Consider the following 19,074-nt stretch of genomic DNA (forward strand, 5'->3'; position numbering starts at 1 on the left):
AATCCATTTAACCCTGAGTGGACACAGCACATGTTTCAGAGAGCACAGGGTTGGGGATAAGGTCACAGATCAACAGGATCCCAAGGCAGAAGAATTTTTCTTAGTACAGAACAAAATGAAAAGTCTCCCATGTCTACTTCTATCCACACAGACCCGGCAACCATCCGATTTCTCAATTTTTTCCCCACCCTTCCCGCCTTTCTATTCCACAAAACCGCCATTGTCATCATGGCCCATCCCCAATGAGCCGCTGGGCACACCTCCCAGACGGGGTCGTGGCCGGGCAGAGGGGCTCCTCACTTCCCAGTAGGGGCGGCCGGGCAGAAGCGCCCCTCACCTCCCGGATGGGGCGGCTGGCCGGGCGGGGGGCTGACCCCCCCACCTCCCTCCCGGACGGGGCGGCTGGCCGGGCGGGTGCTGACCCCTCCACCTCCCTCCCGGACGGGGCGGCTGGCCGACCCCCCCCCCCGCCGCCTCCCTCCCGGACGGGGCGGCTGGCCGGGCAGAGGGGCTCCTCACTTCCCAGTAGGGGCGGCCGGGCAGAGGCGCCCCTCACCTCCCGGACGGGGCGGCTGGCCAGGCGGGGGGCTGATCCCCCCACCTCCCTCCCGGACGGGGCGGCTGGCCGGGCGGGGGGCTGACCCCCCCACCTCCCTCCCGGACGGGGCGGCTGGCCGGGCAGGGGGCTGACTCCCCCTCCCCCCTCCCGGACGGGGCGGCTGGCCGGGCGGGGGGCTGACCCCCCCCACCTCCCTCCCGGACGGGGCGGCTGGCCGGGCGAGGGGCTGACCCCCCACCTCCCTCCCGGACTGGGCGGCTGGCCGGGCGGGGGGGCTGATCCCCCCACCTCCCTCCCGGACTGGGCGGCTGGCCGGGCAGAGGGGCTCCTCACTTCCCAGTAGGGGCGGCCGGGCAGAGGCGCCCCTCACCTCCCGGACGGGGCGGCCGGCCGGGCGGGGGGCTGACCCCCCCACCTCCCTCCCGGACGGGGCGGCTGGCCGGGCAGAGGGGTCCTCACTTCCCAGTAGGGGCGGCCGGGCAGAGGCGCCCCTCACCTCCCGGACGGGGCGGCTGGCCGGGCGGGGGGGCTGACCCCCCCACCTCCCTCCCGGACGGGGCGGCTGGCCGGGCGGGGGGCCGACATCCCCACCTCCCTCCCGGACCGGGCGGCTGGCCAGGCAGGGGGCTGACCCCCCTCCCCCCTCCCGGACTGGGCGGCTGGCCGGGCGGGGGGCTGACCCCCCCACCTCCCTCCTGGACGGGGCGACCGGCCGGGCAGAGGGGCTCCTCACTTCCCAGTGGGGGCGGCCGGGCAGAGGAGCCCCTCACCTCCCGGACGGGGCGGCTGGCCGGGCGGGGGGCTGACCCCCCCCCACCTCCCTCCCGGACGGGGTGGCTGCCGGGCGGAGACGCTCCTCACTTCCCAGACGGGGTGGCTGCTGGACGGAGGGGCTCCTCACTTCTCAGACGGGGCGGTTGCCAGGCAGAGGGTTTCCTCACTTCTCAGACGGGGCGGCCGGGCAGAGGCGCTCCTCACATCCCAGACAGGGCGGCGGGGCAGAGGTGCTCCCCACCTCTCAGACGATGGGCGGCCGGGCAGAGACGCTCCTCACTTCCTAGATGGGATGGCGGCGGGGAAGTGGCGCTCCTCGCTTCCTAGATGGGATGGCGGACGGGCAGAGACGCTCCTCACTTTCCAGACTGGGCAGCCAGGCAGAGGGGCTCCTCATATCCCAGACGATGGGCGGCCAGGCAGAGACGCTCCTCACTTCCCAGACGGGGTGGCGGCCGGGCAGAGGCTGCAATCTCGGCTCTTTGGGAGGCCAAGGCAGGCGGCTGGGAGGTGGTTGTAGCGAGCCGAGATCACGCCACTGCACTCCAGCCTTGGCACCATTGAGCACTGAGTGAACGAGACTCCGTCTGCCATCCCGGCACCTCGGGAGGCCGAGGCTGGCGGATCACTCGCGGTTAGGAGCTGGAGACCGGCCCGGCCAACACAGCAAAACCCCGTCTCCACCAAAAAAAAACGAAAACCAGTCAGGCGTGGTGACGCGCGCCTGCAATCGCAGGCACTCGGCAGGCTGAGGCAGGAGACTCAGGCATGGAGGTTGCAGTGAGCCGAGATCGCAGCAGTACAGTCCAGCTTCGGCTCGGCATCAGAGGGAGACCGTGGAGAGGGAGAGGGGGAGGGGGAGGGGGAGGGGGAGGGGGAGCTACTTTGTTCTTTAGAGCTCTTTCTACTTACTGTCTTTCTGCCCTTTCTTGAACCCTCTTCATTTGAGCTTTGGTCCTTAACACTTAAGCTCTTTTCAAGTTTAAGGTCAGTGGAGACCTTCACATTATCAAAACCAGTGTTTAACTCTCAGGCTTCCTCTTTTATTTCCTCTTTTTTGGCTTCCCTGTTCATACTCTGTGCCCATTTTCCTTGTGTTGCTTGACTTTTATTTTAATTTATAGGCGCTCTTTGTATATTTTGTCAGCATTTTTTCCTGGACACTTGTTTTCCTTTTGATTCTTTTAAAGTTGTGTTTCGTCATACAGAAATGTTAACTCCTCTGGATTTTGTAGGAAAATAACTCTATAAGAATCAATGAGAATTTTGAAAAATGTGGGTAGTGAAGGTCTTACCAGATATTTAAAGCAGAAGTTCTCAAGCATTAGTGTACAAAAACCTGCATGGTTGCATTTTAAAAATGAATCTGTCACAGGAGTTTTCAATTTTTAGGTATTGGGGCAGTAAGGAACATAGGGAGGCATATCTGAGGAATCTTCATTTTAAATGACCTCTAAGGTAATTCTGATATGATTGGTCCATGGGCCACATTTAAGAAACATTGCACTTTGGGAGGCCGAGGCGGGCGGATCACGAGGTAGGAGATCGAGACCATCCCGGCTAACACAGTGAAACCCTGTCTCTACTAAAGATACAAAAACAAAATTAGCCGGGCGCAGTGGCGGGCGCCTGTAGTCCCAGCTACTCGGGAGGCTGAGGCAGGAGAATGGCGTGAACCCGGGAGGCGGAGCTTGCAGTGAGCCGAGATTGCGCCACTGCACTCCAGCCTGGGCAAAAGAGTGAGACTCTGTCTCAAAAAACAAAAACAAACAAACGAAAACAAAACAAAAAAAGAAGCATTGCTGTAAATTTATATTTGGTATAAAGGGGTATTAGCAAAGTAGTAGGCAAATACATGGCAGGAACAGAATGGTGTTTAGAAACACATTCAAGTGTGAATGAGAAATTATTAATGAAGAGGACATTTTGTCTATTTGAGAAAAGAGTGGTTTATTTAAAAATGCTTTAGGCAGTTTATCTGAGAGGAAAGAATTTAGCTTTCACCGTCATACGATATAGAAAAATAAACACTGTTGAATTAAAGATCTAGATGTAAAAATTAGGTAAACACTGGAAAAAATACAGGAGACTGATAGTTTAACCTTTGGATAGCTGAGGCCTTTTAAAACTAGATTGGAAACCTAGAAGCTGTGAAAGAAAAATTGACAGATTTAGCTGTTCAAGTTTACTTTTACTTTTGAAAGATAATGTTCTAACACGGTGAAATCCCATCTCTACTAAAAAATACAAAAATTAGCTGGGCGTGGTGGCAGGCGACTGTCGTCCCAGCTACTCAGGAGGCTGAGGCAGGAGAATCGCTTGAACCTGGGAGGCAGAGCTTGCAGTGAGCCGAGATCGCATCACTGCTCTCCAGCCAGGCAACGGACGGGACTCTCTCTCAAAAAAGAATAAAAAAATAAATAAATAAAAAGAGAAAGATAATGTTACAGGACAGGGGTCCTGATCTAAACCTGAAGGGAAGGTTCTCGGATCTTGCGCAAGAAAGAATTCAGGGCGAGTCCATAGTGCAAAATAGAGGCAAGTTTATTAAGAACATAAAGTGGCGCAAGAATAGCTACTCCATAGACAGAGTAGGATGCTCCTGAAAGTAAGAGGAGGAACGCGCCCACCCTGGGTACAGTGCTGGTATACATGGGAAGATGTGCTCTGCTACAGGGTTTGTGATAAAGGAATAATTTTCTTAATTACTATATTAAGATAACATTGCAAAAATCAATGTTATCTTTAAAGCAAAATTAGGAATGCCTTTGTTCTCCAGATATCGGGATATCTGGACACTCCCAAGTCTGGATCTGTTTTTTAAACATTATTAATTTGTTCCCTTAACTGGAAACACCCGGAGGCTCGGAATGCCTAATTTTCTGGGAATGCAGCCCAGCAAGTCCCAGCCTCATTTTCCTAGCCCTCACCAAAGACGGAGTCGCTCTGGTTCAAACGCCTCTGACAGTAATACTCATTCTAAGGTGTAGCAACATAAAGTATCTATGACTAGTTCTAAAGATTTTTTAGAGCCACCTAGCAAATAAGATGCGGTTGTCCAAATTTGTTACTTTACTTAATTTATCTAGAACATTTTAGAAAAATTAAATGGCTTAATTGAATGTGGCTGGTATCACTAGGCTGCATTTGACGCCCTTGAATACTTGCTCTGTGGCTCTCCCCTCCCTTGGCTTTTGCAACACTGTCCTCTCCATTTTCTTATTGGTTTCCTCAGTGGTACTTTCTCCTTCTCGGCCCCATGGATTGGTTTCTTTTCAAAGTTTTCTGTCCTTGAGCTTGATCTTGTAGATTTCCTATGTGTTCTGTTTGGGCATTCTCATCCTTCTCTTTATGGCTCCAAAATGTGTGCCTCTAGCTCTGGCCTCTCTGAAGTTTCACAGTTTGTGTATATTTGGATGACTCACAGGAATCTTAAACCCGTATTTTCAAGACTGTATTTATTTTCTTTCTACCAACCATGCAACCACTGACCACCTATTTTACTTCTTGTATTTCTGTCTTGGTGGAAGGCACCAAGATCATTTTCTCTCCTTGTATTGTTACAGCTCTAATTCATGACTTAATTCTATATTGTATTCAGATACAGAATTCGTTGTTGGGAAGGACTGGGGAAACAGCTGTAACATTTGCCACCCTCAGAAGCTGCTGGTCCTGTGTCACACCACCTTAGCCTCTTGATCGAGGAAGGTAAAGAATTACTTTCACTGATTTTTATCTAATTTCTTTGCCTTTTGTTTCTGCTGCCTTCACATTGTCTTCTACAGATAGTTATTTTCTAAACCTGCATTTGTGTACATTAGAATGCAAACTAAGTTCTTTTCAAAGGGCACAACAGTTCAACTTCGTCTCCTCCCAGCCCTGCTCTTCTGGTTTATTTTTTGTTGCTTGAACAAAAGACAAACTTTTTGGTGCTTGGTCAATCTGTGTGGTGCCATAACTTCTAAAGCTCCATCCCTACTCCCACTCCCCTACACCATCTTCACTTGTCCTCAGCCTTTTAAGATCACAAAAAATTGCCATTTGATCCAAGAAGATTTCTCAGAAAATGCCAGAACTAGTCTCTACCTTTTACTGTACTCTTCCTGAAGCACCATTAACACTTGATTAATACTTACCTTTAGGTTATATGATCAATTTGAGTTAACTTTTTGTATGGTGTAAGGAAGGGTTACAACTTTTGCTTGTTAGTTATTTCAGTACCATTTGTTGAAAAGACTGTTCTTTCCCCATTAAATTTTCTCACCACCCCATTGAAATTCAGTTGTCCATAATATAAGGATTTATTTCTGGATTCTTAAATTGACTCCATTGATCTATCTGTCTGTCCTTTTGCCAGTACCACACCATCTTAATTACTTTTCCTTTATAGTAAATTTTAAAATTAAGACATATAAGTCATCCAAGTTTGTTCTTTTTCAAGATTGTTTGGCTGTTCTGGGTGCTTTTAATATCCATGTGAATTTTAAAATCAGCTTACTTATTTCTGTCTAAAAGCCAGCTTTTATACAGCTGAGATCTTTTTTAAGCTAACCTTAGATTTAATGAACTAGTTATTTAGGTCCAAAAGAAAAGGCTGGGCATGGTGGCCCACGCCTGTAATCCCAGCACTTTGGGAGGCCAAGGTGGGCGGATCACAAGGTCAAGAGATCGAGACCATCCTGGCCAACATGGTGAAACCCCATCTTTACTAAAAATACAAAAATTAGCTGGGCGTGATTGAGCACGCCTGTAGTCTCAGCTACTCGGGAGGCTGAGGCAGGAGAATCACTTGAACCCGGAGGCGAAGGTTGTAGTGAGCCGAGATCGCGCCACTGCACTCCAGCCTGGGTGACAGAGTGAGACTCGGTCTCAAAAAAAAAAAAAAAAAAAAAGAACTCAAATATTGTTGAGGTAGCAAATATTCTATCATCTGAAACCTCAGTGGTAAACACAATACCCAAATTTAACATATTTTTGTTACTTGTTAAATACATGCGTGTAAATATATTCACTTAAGTAAACTAAGTGGACAAAATTAGATAAGTCTTTTTTCATATCCAACTTATTTAACTTGATACACTTTCCAGCTTTCAACATAATTGCAAATTTTTATAATCTTGTAAGATAATGTTATGTAATTCAACTTGTCAGTATTATTCTAGTGCTATTAGCTATATTAATTACATAAAGACATTGATGTAAGGGGACTCAAAAATTCATAGGTTTGGGTAGAAAATGAGAACTAGACAGTGATTTCATCACTATAAATTTAGTTGTTACTTAGCGTCCCCTGAGGCTAATGTATGGCAGATCCCTGTAGCCATAAATTGCATTCTGGGCTTTAAGGGATTAAAATATAATTCAAATCCTTCAATAAAATCATACCATTCACACCATTACCTTTGAAAATAAATACTTGGAATTCTAGTACATACCTTAGATCTTGTTTGTACATGCCATTCAATTTATTATAATGCTTTAAAAAAGATATTGATGCAGGATTCTTGCTCCTTAGTTCAGCTAAATCCAGGTTCTTGTCTCATGACCAGAAAAAAATTAGGCATGTGGACACATTGAAGGATGAGGAGGGCGGAATTTATTAAGCAAAAGGAAAGCTCAGCAAAGAGAGGGGTCCTGCAGGCAGGTTTCTACCTCACAAATTGAATACCAGGGCCACCACACAGGAGCTGAAGAGTGCAGACTTCTCCTCTGCATGAGGCACAAATTCCTGGTGGCTCCACCCTAGGGCATTATTCAGAAAGAATCAGTCAGGAAACGGTGGGCAAACTGGGACAGACTTTCTCCCTCTGGGTCACGGGTTTCAACCTGGACCAGCAGTCCAGTCTTTCAGCCTTCAGGTTGCTTTAGGCTTGAAGGTGAGGTTTCACCGGGGACTCTACCCTATCTGCCTAGGTATTTGTCTGCCTCCAGCCTCTATCAATATGGTACTACAAATAGAAGGAAGAAAAAAAAGTCAAATCACACCTTAGGAAATTACAGCCTAGTAGCATCAGTAAAAATGGTACTGTTAGTCATGTCATGAAATAGACGTAAAATTGAAGGTTGATTTTCTTTTTTTTTTTGAGATGAGGTCTGGCTTCGTGGCCCAGGCCGGAGTGCAGTGGCATGATCTTAACTTATCGCACTTTTCATCTCCTGGTCTCAAGTCATCCTCCCACTTGATTCCGCCTCTTGAGTAGCTGGTACTACAAGTGTGTGCCACCATACCTGGCTAACTTTTGTAGTTTTTGTAGAGACAGGGCTTCGTCATGTTTCCCAGGCTGGTCTCAAACTTCTGAGCTCAAGTGATCCATTTGTCCTGGCCTCCCAAAGTCCTGGGATTACAGTTGTGAGCCACCATGCTGGCCTGTTTTTCAATTATTGATTGCTTTCAAGTTGGAAAGTGCATTGTGAAACACTCAAAGATGTTGCTGGGATTATTTAGTTCTTTTGATACTATATAAATAAATGACAGAGTAACACCATAGTTATATGATTGGAACTCAAGAAATATTAAATGATAGGATTGAAAAGAGTTATATGAGTCATTTGTCCAGAATTTATAAAATTTTTTTCTGTATCCCAATGGAATAAATTTAAACTATGTATATTCTCTGAAATAGTCTTCCAGTTTGCCCAACATGCTTGCTCTCCTGACTAGATATTAGCTAAAAATTAACAAAACAGTCTTTTCTCCTGTTACTGTGTGGTAAAGATGTAAAACCCTTTTTGCCAGCAGGGCTGCCCTCTACTGGACTATTTAAGGTATTCAGTGAGCAGGTCAATATGACTATTTTACAAGAAGGTAACACAGTGGGTATAAATGTAAACATCCCATATCCCAAACAAACTGAAGTTCCCTGAATAGTTAAAAAAAAAAAGCCCTTTAATAAACTTTTACCATTAAAACAATTATGGTCGGCTGGGCGCGGTGGCTCACGCCTGTAATCCCAGTACTTTGGGAGGCCGAGGCGGGCGGATCACCTGAGGTCAGGAGTTCGAGACCAGCCTCAACATGGAGAAACCCCGTCTCTACTAAAAATACAAAATTAGCCGGGCGTGATGGTGCATGCCTGTAATCCCAGCTACTCGGGAGTCTGAGGCAGGAGAATTGCTTGAACCTGGGAGGCGGAGGTTGCAGTGAGCCGAGATCGCACCATTGCACTCCAGCCTGGGCAACAAGAGCGAAACTCCATCTCAAAAAACAAAACAAAACAAAACAAAAAACAATTATGGTCATTTTGAGAACTGGTAGTGAAGTTTATATGGTCTTAGTCTCCATTTCAACCTTGGAGGCAGATCTGTGGCAATGAGAATAGTAATGTATAGGAACGGTGGGTCTGCTCTGATGTCAGTCTTTTATGATGATTTGTATATTAATACAAATCACGTTTTTGTGAGTCCATTCATGCTGTGGATGTTTTCTTAGGCATTAGCATAGGTCATAGTGGACACATACTGAATAGGTCATATCTGTTAAGGCTCTTGCTACAAAGCATCAAAACTTTTCAGAACTATTTCCTCTGTGAAAATTCATTTTAAGTAGCAAGTTGTTTTTTTCTGTGGTTCATTCCCATGCCTGAGATTTGCAGTAATGTAGAACTAGTTTACCATCACTGCTGAAACACTCATAGAAGGTTCCAAATTCCTGGTCCAGGGAAAGAGCAAAAGCCTGACTCACATAAATAAACAACTGAGGTTGCAAGTTTAAGGAACTTTTTTGATGAAGTCAAGGAGTCTTTGGATGGTTCGAGTTCACTCTACTGCCTGCTTCTTTGTTTTCATAATAGGAACATGTCCCACAGCCTTTAGTAGGATGTCAGAATTTTCTTGATGTTGCCAGCAGGATCCTGTGTCCCAGGAAACTACAGTGGAATAAGGGGGGTCTGAGGTGCTTGCTTTGGGGAGACCTCTAGAGTAAGTCCTTTGCTGCCAGCAGCAGTTAAGGGAGGTAGCTGTGACATTGTCTTCAGCTTCTGCCATCTTGTTAGGTCCCAGGTGAGATTTTGAAAAGGATTGTTCAGGGGTGGTAAGAGCTCAAACAGGCCTGCCTCAGCCTCATGATAAGCCACTGCATCTGGCTAATTTTTTTATATATGTTTTTTGAGACAGGGTCTTGCTTTGTTGCCCAAGCTGGAGTGCAGTGGCAGGATCACAGCTCATTGCAGCCTCGATCTCCCTAGGCTGAGGTGATCCTCCCATCTCAGTCTCCCGAGTAGCAGGGACTACAAGTGTGCACCACCACACCCTGCTAATTTTTCTCTTTTTTGTAGAGATGAGGTTTTACTATATTGCCCCGGCTGGTCTTGAACTGCTGGGCTCAAGCAATCCGCCTGCCTTGGCCTCCCAAAGTGCTGGGATTACAGGCATGAGCCACCATGTCTGGCCATGATATTATTTTTAATTCAAAAACAAACATGCAAAATTAAATTTTAGTGAGAGAACTTAGTTGGATAACATCTTTCTTCTGGGTTATTAGGGTATGTTTATTCTTTGCAACTCTGATGTTCTAGGTGTAGCAAGACCGTTTGTTTTCATTTTGCCATTTTCCTGTACAGAAAGCTTTAATGTCTCCCCATGACCTTTATGGCAAAAACCAAATTCCCTCGACCAGTCTTTGGATTACTACACAATACATTGTCAAAGAAAATAGCCTGGAATGGTGAACAGAGCCTGAGGCTCAGTTGGGAGTCCTGACTTCTCATCAGCTGTGCATGAGCAAATTTGGAGGTGTTCCTTAACTTGTAAAATCGATTTGGATTTTTGGTATTTTAAGCATGATTTCCTTTAGTTCTTTTTTTTTTTTTCCAGAGTGCTAGAATTCAGTCTTTTAGTTCTTTGAACATATTTATAATAGCTGCTTTGCTGTCTTGTCTACTAAGTCTGACATCTGGGCCTTCAAGGACAATTTCTGCTGCCTGCTTTTCCCTTCTTTCTGTGTGTCATACTTTTCTGTTTATTTGCATGCCTCATGATTTTGTGTTGTAAACTGGGCATTTTAGATAGTATTTTGTAGCAACTCGGAATACTGATTTTCCCTCCCCTCTTCCAGGGCTGCTGCTTGTTGTGTTGTTTCCTTATTTGTTAACTGACTTGGCTGAGCTATTACACTGAGGTTTGTTTATTCTGCACAGTGTACCCTCAGATGTTTCTCCTCAAGAGGGTACACTTGGGCACGCACATAGTCACCCTGGACTGCCCTTCTTGAGAGATGATAGCCGATTTTCAGCAGGGCTTTCTTTAACTCTCAGATCTCCTTGTTAAGCTTCTGCTTTCATTGGTATCACCACCCAGCAACTATTCTTCACTAATTGCTAACTGATTGCTTTATTGTTTTGGACAAAGCTTTGGGCCATAAATTTCCCCACTTGTGATCCAGTTAAATTAAGATGCCCTTTGTATAGGGGTTGTGTTTGATGGCAGTCTTTGAGGCTTGTCATGTCAAAAAGGAGGATTCTTAGGTATCTCTTTCCCTGGTTCTCTGTGAAACTTCTACAGTAGTTGGTTAGTCTTTCACTTGCTGCTGTCACAGAACTACCAGCCTCATTTTTTTTTTTTTTTTAGATGGAATCTTGCTCTGTTGCTGGGCTGGAGTGCAGTGGCGCTATCTCTGCTCACTGCAATCTCCGCCTCCCAGGTTCAAGCGATTCTCCTGCCTCAGCCTCCCGAGTAGCTGGGACTACAGGCGTGTACCATCACGCCCAGCTAATTTTTGTATTTTTAGTAGAGACGGGGTTTCACTGTGTTGGCCAGGATGGTCTCGATCTCCTGATTTTGTGTTCTGTCCTCCCTGGCCTCCCAAAGTACTGGGCAGCCTCATCATAATTGCTTACCACCAATGTCTGTGTTGTTTTTGACAGTGCCATTAGGCATGAACTTTTCCATTCTTTGTTCTAAATATAGTCGGTCTTAGAAATTGCTAAGGGGCTCTGTGTTCTTACAGCCTGCTTCTCCAGCCTGTGCAGAACCTTTGTGCCATTGTTCTGGAGCTGGGGCTGGGGACAGCAGCTTGATTTTCTTATAGTTATATCTGTTCTGTGAGTGGTCTACTAGGCCATCAATGTACCCATCAGTCTTCTCTGTTTGGAGCTTCTTGGCCTGCATGGAACCTCTGCTTTACAAGAGGTGAGGCAAAGATGATCTGTGCTTGGTGTCCTTGGCCTGATGCATCTGGGGTAGAGCTTCTGCCCTAAGAATGGGGACTGGATGAAAGAGAAAGGATTCTTCAGTTCTCTCATCTATCTACACTTGCCTGGAATAGAATTTCTGCAACACAGAGCTAGGGGTAGGAGGTGAAAAATGCTGGCTGCTTGCGTCACTTGGGAAGAAATCGTAGTCCTGGATTTGGAGCTGGGTAGGGTTAACTAGTTACTAGTTAGCTTCAGTTTTGTTTCTTCAAGAATGATGGCCGGATGTGGTGGCTAACACCTGTAATCCCAGCACTTTGGGAGGCTCAGGTGGGAGAATTGCTTGAAGCCAGGAGTTTGAGACCAGCTGGGGCAGCATCATGAGAGCCTGTCTCTACAAAAAAAATTTTGAAAAATTAGCTGAGTGTGGTCACACATGCCTGTAGTCCCAACTGTTTGGGAGGCTGAGGAGAGAGAATCGCTTGAGTCCAAGAGTTTGAGGCTGCAGTGAGCTATAATCTTGTACTGTACTCTATCCTGGGTGAGATCCTGTCTTTAAAAAAAAAAAAAAAAAGGTATTATTACCCACCTGCCACACAATGGCTGTTCCCCTCTGCCCGGAGTGCTCTTTCTTACCCAAATAGGCACATGGTACGCTCTCTCTTCCTTATGAGTCTCTGTTCAGATATCACTTAGCTGTAGCACCTCTCCAACGTTGCCCCAGTCACTTTCTATTTTCCTTACCTGGGTTTATTTTCCTCATAACATTTATCACCATCTGGCACGTACACATGCATGCATGCATACCTACATATTTGCTTGTCTACCTCTCCCAGTGAACGTGTAGGTTGCACGAGAGTGGGAACTTAGGCCGTTTTGTTTACTGTTACTTTCGCAGTGCTTAGAACGATATCTAACATAGTGGATTTTCAATAAATCTGATGAATGCAAAGTACAGAATGACCAAAGTATACTGCTTTCTTGCGTCATAGTTTAACCTAACTTGAAAACTATCTGTAGAGCCATTGTGGAAAATGAATTTTTTGTGTTTGCAAACTCCAGTTGCTTGTTGCTGACTAGAGTGAGAATGGGGCTCACAGGGAAGGAATGTGGTGATTATTTGGCAGTGGCTGCTGGGGCTGTGAGAGAGGATGGATGTGTTGTATTTGTAAAGTACTTGCCATCCCTAATGCAGTGAGATGCTAAAGCACAGGAAATGGGTAAATTTTTGGTCTTCCCCCAACCCTCTTTCTGACTTGCTCCCTTTTTACTACTGGGAAATGTTTGTGGATACTTAAGGTTTTGGTTGGAACAGCCGCCTGTTTACAGTATGATGTGGAAACTTTTCTTGTAATTCCGTTGTTAATAGATATTGTACAAATGAGTCTCTTAGAAATATCAAGACATTGTAGGGGACCAGTGTGGTAGCTGCTGCCTGATAGAAAAAAAAAAATCTTCATTTGCCGATGTAACTTTTCTTTAAATTATTTTAAAATGATTTTGAACTAACGCCTTTCTTTTTCTTCCTCCTAGATTCTCGCTGAAGTCTGTTAATTCTACTTTTTGAGTACTTATGAATAACCACGTGTCTTCAAAACCATCTACCATGAAGCTAAAACATACCATCAACCCTATTCTTTTATATTTTATACATTTTCTAATATCACTTTATACTATTTTAACATACATTCCGTTTTATTTTTTCTCCGAGTCAAGACAAGAAAAATCAAACCGAATTAAAGCAAAGCCTGTAAATTCAAAACCTGATTCTGCATACAGATCTGTTAATAGTTTGGATGGTTTGGCTTCAGTATTATACCCTGGATGTGATACTTTAGATAAAGTTTTTACATATGCAAAAAACAAATTTAAGAACAAAAGACTCTTGGGAACACGTGAAGTTTTAAATGAGGAAGATGAAGTACAACCAAATGGAAAAATTTTTAAAAAGGTAAGATGATCTTTCATTGCCTTTGAATTCTTTCGAATAAAATATCCTGTTAGAAATGAAGTAAAGGGCAAGCACAGCCTGCCTCCATTAGAATTCGCTGTTGAAGGAGAAGCAGTGTAGGAAGGGGGCTAGACTACCTTCTAATTTCTTCCTGTACTTACCAGCACTGATATGTTCTGAGTTTTCAGAAGGACATCGCAACCCAGTGGTGTGGAGCTCTTCCCCAGTGTCTACCAGGGTTTGGAATGTCTAGGGCAGTTTTGAGTATGAAACCATACTCCCTGTCTCTAGAGCAGCTGGGTGCTGGAAATGGCTCCAGGTTTTGGGGTGGGACCTGCTGTGTTAAATGTGGCTTAGATGTGGGTTGCAGTGAGTGCTTCATGTCTTTGTACTTTGGCTGTGGCAGTTGCATGGTTCTTAAAACATTTCTTTTCAGAAATATGGAGAAACCTGCCATTGTTGATTTGAAACAACGGGCAAGATGTTCTCAGAGGCAGTGTAACAGCGATTAAGAGCCTGGACTCCAGACCCAGACTATAGGTCTGAATCTTGGCTTTGCCACTTAACTGGCTTTCTGACCCTGGAAAAGTAGGTTAACTAATTCGCCTCAGTTTCTTTTTCTGTAATATGAAGATAATGATCATTACTGACACTCAAGAGCCAAGCTGTTCTAAGAGCTTTACATATATCATCTTAAGACTCACAGTTACCCTATGAGTTAGTTGTTATTATTTTCACTTTACAGATGACAGCACTGAGGCACAGATAGTTGAGGTAACCTACCCCAGGGACACTACAGCTAGGGAAGCTGGGACTGGAATCCAGGCCTTCTGGCTCCAGAACTCATACCCTCCATTCTTCACTGATCACAGCTTTCATGCTTGTGAGGATTGAGTGTGTGTGTATATATCTGCAATGTGCTTAGAACAATTTGTGGCACTTAATGTAAATGCTCTAGCTTTTATTATTAGATTACTATTATCTTGAGAATTCAATGAGGAAAATTATAGTAGAAAATTCAATGAGGAAAATTAGATCGTGGAATAGTGTGTTTCACTGGTAGTATAGAAATGGCGTGAGAATGCCGTTTATGAACTTGGATATGTGACTTCCTTATGAGCAGTTCTTGAAACTCTAGTAAGTTAAAAATTGAAGATAAAGTATTTTTTAGAGGGGGTACAGTGAAGTGATGTGTAGTTGGTTGATAATTTGGTTAGGTAATAGGTTTAATATCTTTTAACCATTTCCAGCTACTTTGATCCCCAACTGGCTTTTTTTCCTGTCAGTTACAAGGAAACCGTCAACTCTTGAAGGAGAGTCCAAATAACTGCAACTATGGAATGAAAAACTCAGAGCTCCTCTTTTACTGGAGGGCCAGAGGGATGTTGCTTAACCTCCTCTATATATGGCCCATTAATTTTGCCACTTAAACAAATTTCATACATCATTTTCCTCAAAACATGAAGGAGATGCCAAGCAAGTTGATGTCAGTAATTCCTAGAAACTAAAAACATTTTAACTTGACAACAGAATATGTAAATTTCCTCACGTTTAAATAGAGTAGTTGTGTATCTTGTTTTATCTGAAACCATCCTGATTTATACTTGTTGCTGTGACATTAATAGTGCCCCCTTACAGTCTCAAAAGTGCCCTAGTTTGGATAGTTATGTGGTCACCTTATTTTTAAGACATATTCCCTATTTCTTTTGCAGACTTAGAAAAAACTGAATTTTTTTCTATTTAAGATCTCGCTGAAGTTAATAGCACATTTCTAGAAATTGAAATCATGAGTTAAGCATGTTTGATTTTTCTTTTCCAGCCTATGGATTGTAATTTCCAAAACATTTTATCATAATGAAGTTTGCTTTTGTCATATTTACATATCTGGCACTGCCTTTTTTTTTTTTTTTTTTTTTGAGATGGAGTTTCACTCTTGTTGCCCAGGCTGGAGTGCAATGGTGCCGTCTCAGCTCACCGCAACGTCCGCCTTCTGGGTTCAAGTGATTGTCCTGGCTCAGCCTCCCGAGTAGTTGGGATTACAGGCATGCGCCACCACGTCCGGCTAATTTTGTGTTTTTAGTAGAGACAAGGTTTCTCCATGTTGGTCAGGCTGGTCTCGAACTCCCAGCCTCAGGTGATCCGCCCACCTCGGCCTCCCAAAGTGCTGGGATTACAGGCATGAGCCACAGCGCCCAACCAGCACAGCTTTTTATGGCACTCTGTTCTTGAGTCTGTTTTTGAGAAATCGGGTAGTTATGAGAAGGTACTGAAAACAGTACATTTTTATGTGCAAAAGTTTTCTACTTTTCTATCTGCTTATAGATTCATTTTTTTGTCTTTGATATGCTATTTGAATTCAAAGGTTGGATTCTCTTTTAGTCTAAGCATATATACAGAAGTCTTATGTTTCAGGAAGCTTCGTTTTTCTCCGGTATCCCACACATATTTTATTCATTTTAATGTGGCTAGTATTGTCTTTCAGTCGTCATTCGGTATGTACAGCAGCAAACTAGTTCTCAATTGTGTAAAAAGAAGAAAAGCTTATGTGGTGAATATGAAATTTCTTCCTAATTCGTGTATCAGTATAACTGGACAAAATAAAATCCTAGAGCTATGATAGTTGTTTCCTAAATGTGCGTGTGTAAGTGTATGTGGCTCTTTCCTGCTTATCTTAACCATAGTGCCTTTGTATTCAATGATTATTCAACAAAGTATGAAGTATTTGAACTCATAAAAGTTAGGTGAGACAGACTGTTTTTTAGCAACTTTTTCTGTCTATAGTTCATTACTGTGAAGTTTTATTTAGTTAGTAAAAGGAGGTTTTGAATTTCTATATGTCAGAAGATCTGCCTACTAGCATTTGCTATGAAATTGGCATTTGTGGTTCATCAAACTTTGTTCAGAAGGCTGTGTCTAGACTGTGTCTTGGGAACATGTTATAGTTTTCTTTAGGTTCATTGGGAAAGTAGAATTAATTTTTAGATTTTGCATATAATAAATGAAACAAGTAGTTTCTCTTGGCCATACTCAAGAAGAAAGTGTGCAGTGTCGCTGGTTAGCTGAGGCTTTAGTTTCTGTTCATTCTGTGTTGCAGCTGTGGCAGTGATCTGCAGACTGCAGAGTGGGTATCTCAGCTGCATGTTAAACATGCTAGGCCTTTTTCGTTTTCCCCTCTCTTGGTTTCTTGTTACACCCATTGCATTGCATCAGTAGCAGCATCTGCCTAGGGTGTTGAAAAGGGGAACTTTCACAACTGGTGGGTTAAGCTGTGTACTTTCTGCTATTAGTGCCTGCTAGCTGATCAAGCTCAGTGAAGTGTGTCTTCATTAAATAGTTTCCATATTTGAAGATAATCTTCAACTGGAAAAGAAAACGAATGTTGTAGCAATATTTAAAATATTTTTTGAGTAAGACTTTTGGGGATTAACCCCAGAATGTTGTATCTGATATGGTTGAAGGAAAGATGCACAAGCCTTATTTCAAATTAATGAACTTTGAAGCTTTGTTTCCATCTTATCCCAACAGTCTATTTTGAGGTCCTGAGGGGAGGATGAGTGGATGAAAAAAGGCAGTGGCGATGACCCTGCTCTCGTTGTGTCCAAGGTAGAGTAGCCACCAGCTTCACTACGACCAGATTCTTCCTTGGGGGACAGAAAAACAAAAGGCACTTGGTTGCTTGGCAGGCCTTTTCAGGGTCCTTTTAAGTTTCATATGGTTTTATAAAACTGTAGCAGAGTTAAGAGCTGGAACCTGTGTCAGCATCACCTGATTCCAGTGTTCCCAGCAGTAAATGCATTGCACTAACGTCGTCTTGAAATGAACAGTGAAATGATTTCAGGACAACCTTAAAATACATGTATACCTGAAATAGAACAAAGCTGCAAAGACTAAAAATAGAAACAGAAAAGAGTACAAGCTGGCTCATATACTTTGTGAGCCATCAGAAACACTTGATTTTTTCTTAGATATTTTATAAAAATAAGAAGAGAATGAGGGATTATGTAATATGGTGCTTAGAGAAGACTTCACTATGACATTCCTTCTAAATTGATCCAAAAAGATAATAGAAACACTCATTTATGTCCTTGTAAGTTGACTTAGCTTTCTTTTCCTCTTTCTTAATGCCGTCTTTTGTGTTATTTCTTAGTCACATTTTTTTACCCTGTTTGTGTATGTGTATAAAACTTATTTTCTGATTTATTAGGACATTTGCATCATGCTATATGTAACAAATTATGGTCAGTCTCTTGGCTGGGATTTGTGGGTTGGTTATTATATTACTCTTCTCTTAGTTTCCCCTTCCAAACTGTCCCTCTCCTTTCATCCTATTTATTAAAGGCACTGCTGCATACCAAATTGTTGAAGCCAAAAAATCAGGGGTGTCTGATTTACATCCCTTACAGCCTCCCCCCGCCTTTTTTTTAGCAGGCCTCCTTGCTTCCACACTTGCCCCCAACTGTAATTCACTCACACACAGCATAAAAATGATTTTTCACAATTGTTAATCAGGCCACCTTACTCACCTGCTTAATAAGACCCGGACTTCTTTCTACAGTGCAGTTGAAGCATTGTGATTTTATGCTTAATCTCTGGAATGAGTTTGCCTGGGTTCATATTCTAGTCCCATTACTTATTAGTTACATGATTTTGAACAAGTTATATTTACTCTACATCTCCATATTCTCATGTGTAAAATAGGGATAATAATAGTAACAGTTTTTTACAGGTATGGTAAGAGTTTAATAAGTTAACACTTGCCGTGTCCTTAGCATGTAGTAAGCACTAATAAAGGTTAGTTACCCTCATTATCATTATCATGATTATTACAACTATCCAGATCTCTTGAATATTTTTACTCTGTGGCTCCCCTCAGAATAATTTTTTCATAGTGATCTTCAGTTGCAGAGAGAATGGTTAAATGAAGCCAGGTGTACTTTACTGAAGAAGACAGGAATGTGTGTAATTTTGAAATATTTCTAAATAGTGAAAGTAAAACAAGTCCTAGTGCTTAAAGAGGTTTTCAGTAGGAGACAAGATTACCACCTGTAAGTAGAGAGAAGGAAGGGTGGAAGGTGTGTGTGTACGTGTGTGTGTGTGTGTGTGTGTGTGTGTGTGTGTGTGTGTGTGTATTTTGAGACAGGGTCTCACTCTTGCCCAGGCTGGAGTGTAGTGGTATGATCATAGCTCTCTGCAGCCTTGAGTTCCTGGGGTCAGGTGATCCTTTTGCCTCAGCCTCCTAGGTAGCTGGGACGACAGGCATGTACTGCACGTCTGGCTAATTTTTACACTTTTTTAGACATGGGGTCTTGCTGTGTTGCCCAGGCTGGTCTCGAATTCCTGGCCTCAAATGAGTTGCCTGTCTCAGCCTTCCAAAGTGTTGAGATTACAGGCATGAGCCAGTGCACCTGCCCAGAGGAGGCTATTTGAATAGAGAGAAGGTTTCAGAGGTATTTCAGAGGGTGAGAAAACGAATAGACCAGGGATGTATGATAGGATTGCTTCAGGGTGTTGAGGTCCTAGATTTAATAAGGTTGGCTGTTCTGCAGCAGTGTTCAATGATATTGGCAAGGAATAAATAGTTTAATCTTGTCTTGGGCTAGCCATAGGGACAAAGTTAGGATTAGAAACTTTTCCAGCACAAATCAGATACAATATAGAGTGGG

At 43.8% G+C, this 19,074-nt stretch overlaps 1 protein-coding gene and 1 pseudogene across 4 annotated transcripts in view, besides 3 other annotated features; one reads left to right on the forward strand and one right to left on the reverse strand.

Annotated features, from left to right (window-relative positions):
* The window catches only part of ACSL3 (acyl-CoA synthetase long chain family member 3), an 83,604-nt gene that overhangs the window by 34,704 nt on the left and 29,826 nt on the right, over positions 1 to 19,074 (forward strand). For 2 of the 4 annotated variants that reach the window (NM_004457.5, NM_001354158.2), the window contains 2 exons: positions 4,935 to 5,041; positions 12,994 to 13,411. In NM_004457.5, coding sequence (NP_004448.2) covers positions 13,034 to 13,411 — 378 coding nt within the window. In that variant the 5' untranslated portion in view covers positions 4,935 to 5,041; positions 12,994 to 13,033. The remainder of the gene's footprint in view (positions 1 to 4,934; positions 5,042 to 12,993; positions 13,412 to 19,074) is intronic. The other 2 variants (NM_203372.3, NM_001354159.2) reach the window with 1 other exon arrangement.
* On the reverse strand, positions 5,925 to 9,320 carry ATG12P2 (autophagy related 12 pseudogene 2; annotated as a pseudogene).
* Positions 10,390 to 10,962: an enhancer, noted in NCBI's record as "OCT4-NANOG-H3K27ac hESC enhancer chr2:223770847-223771419 (GRCh37/hg19 assembly coordinates)". NCBI's record gives its function as "activates a minimal SCP1, AML or CMV promoter by ChIP-STARR-seq in naive H9 embryonic stem cells {active_cell/tissue: H9 hESC(naive)}" and the evidence as "EXISTENCE:reporter gene assay evidence [ECO:0000049][PMID:30033119]".
* Positions 10,963 to 11,534: an enhancer, noted in NCBI's record as "H3K27ac hESC enhancer chr2:223771420-223771991 (GRCh37/hg19 assembly coordinates)". NCBI's record gives its function as "activates a minimal SCP1, AML or CMV promoter by ChIP-STARR-seq in primed H9 embryonic stem cells {active_cell/tissue: H9 hESC(primed)}" and the evidence as "EXISTENCE:reporter gene assay evidence [ECO:0000049][PMID:30033119]".
* Positions 11,706 to 12,328: an enhancer, noted in NCBI's record as "OCT4-NANOG-H3K27ac-H3K4me1 hESC enhancer chr2:223772163-223772785 (GRCh37/hg19 assembly coordinates)". NCBI's record gives its function as "activates a minimal SCP1, AML or CMV promoter by ChIP-STARR-seq in naive H9 embryonic stem cells {active_cell/tissue: H9 hESC(naive)}" and the evidence as "EXISTENCE:reporter gene assay evidence [ECO:0000049][PMID:30033119]".

Source organism: Homo sapiens, chromosome 2, assembly GCF_000001405.40.
Source record: "Homo sapiens chromosome 2, GRCh38.p14 Primary Assembly".
NCBI lineage: Eukaryota > Metazoa > Chordata > Mammalia > Primates > Hominidae > Homo > Homo sapiens.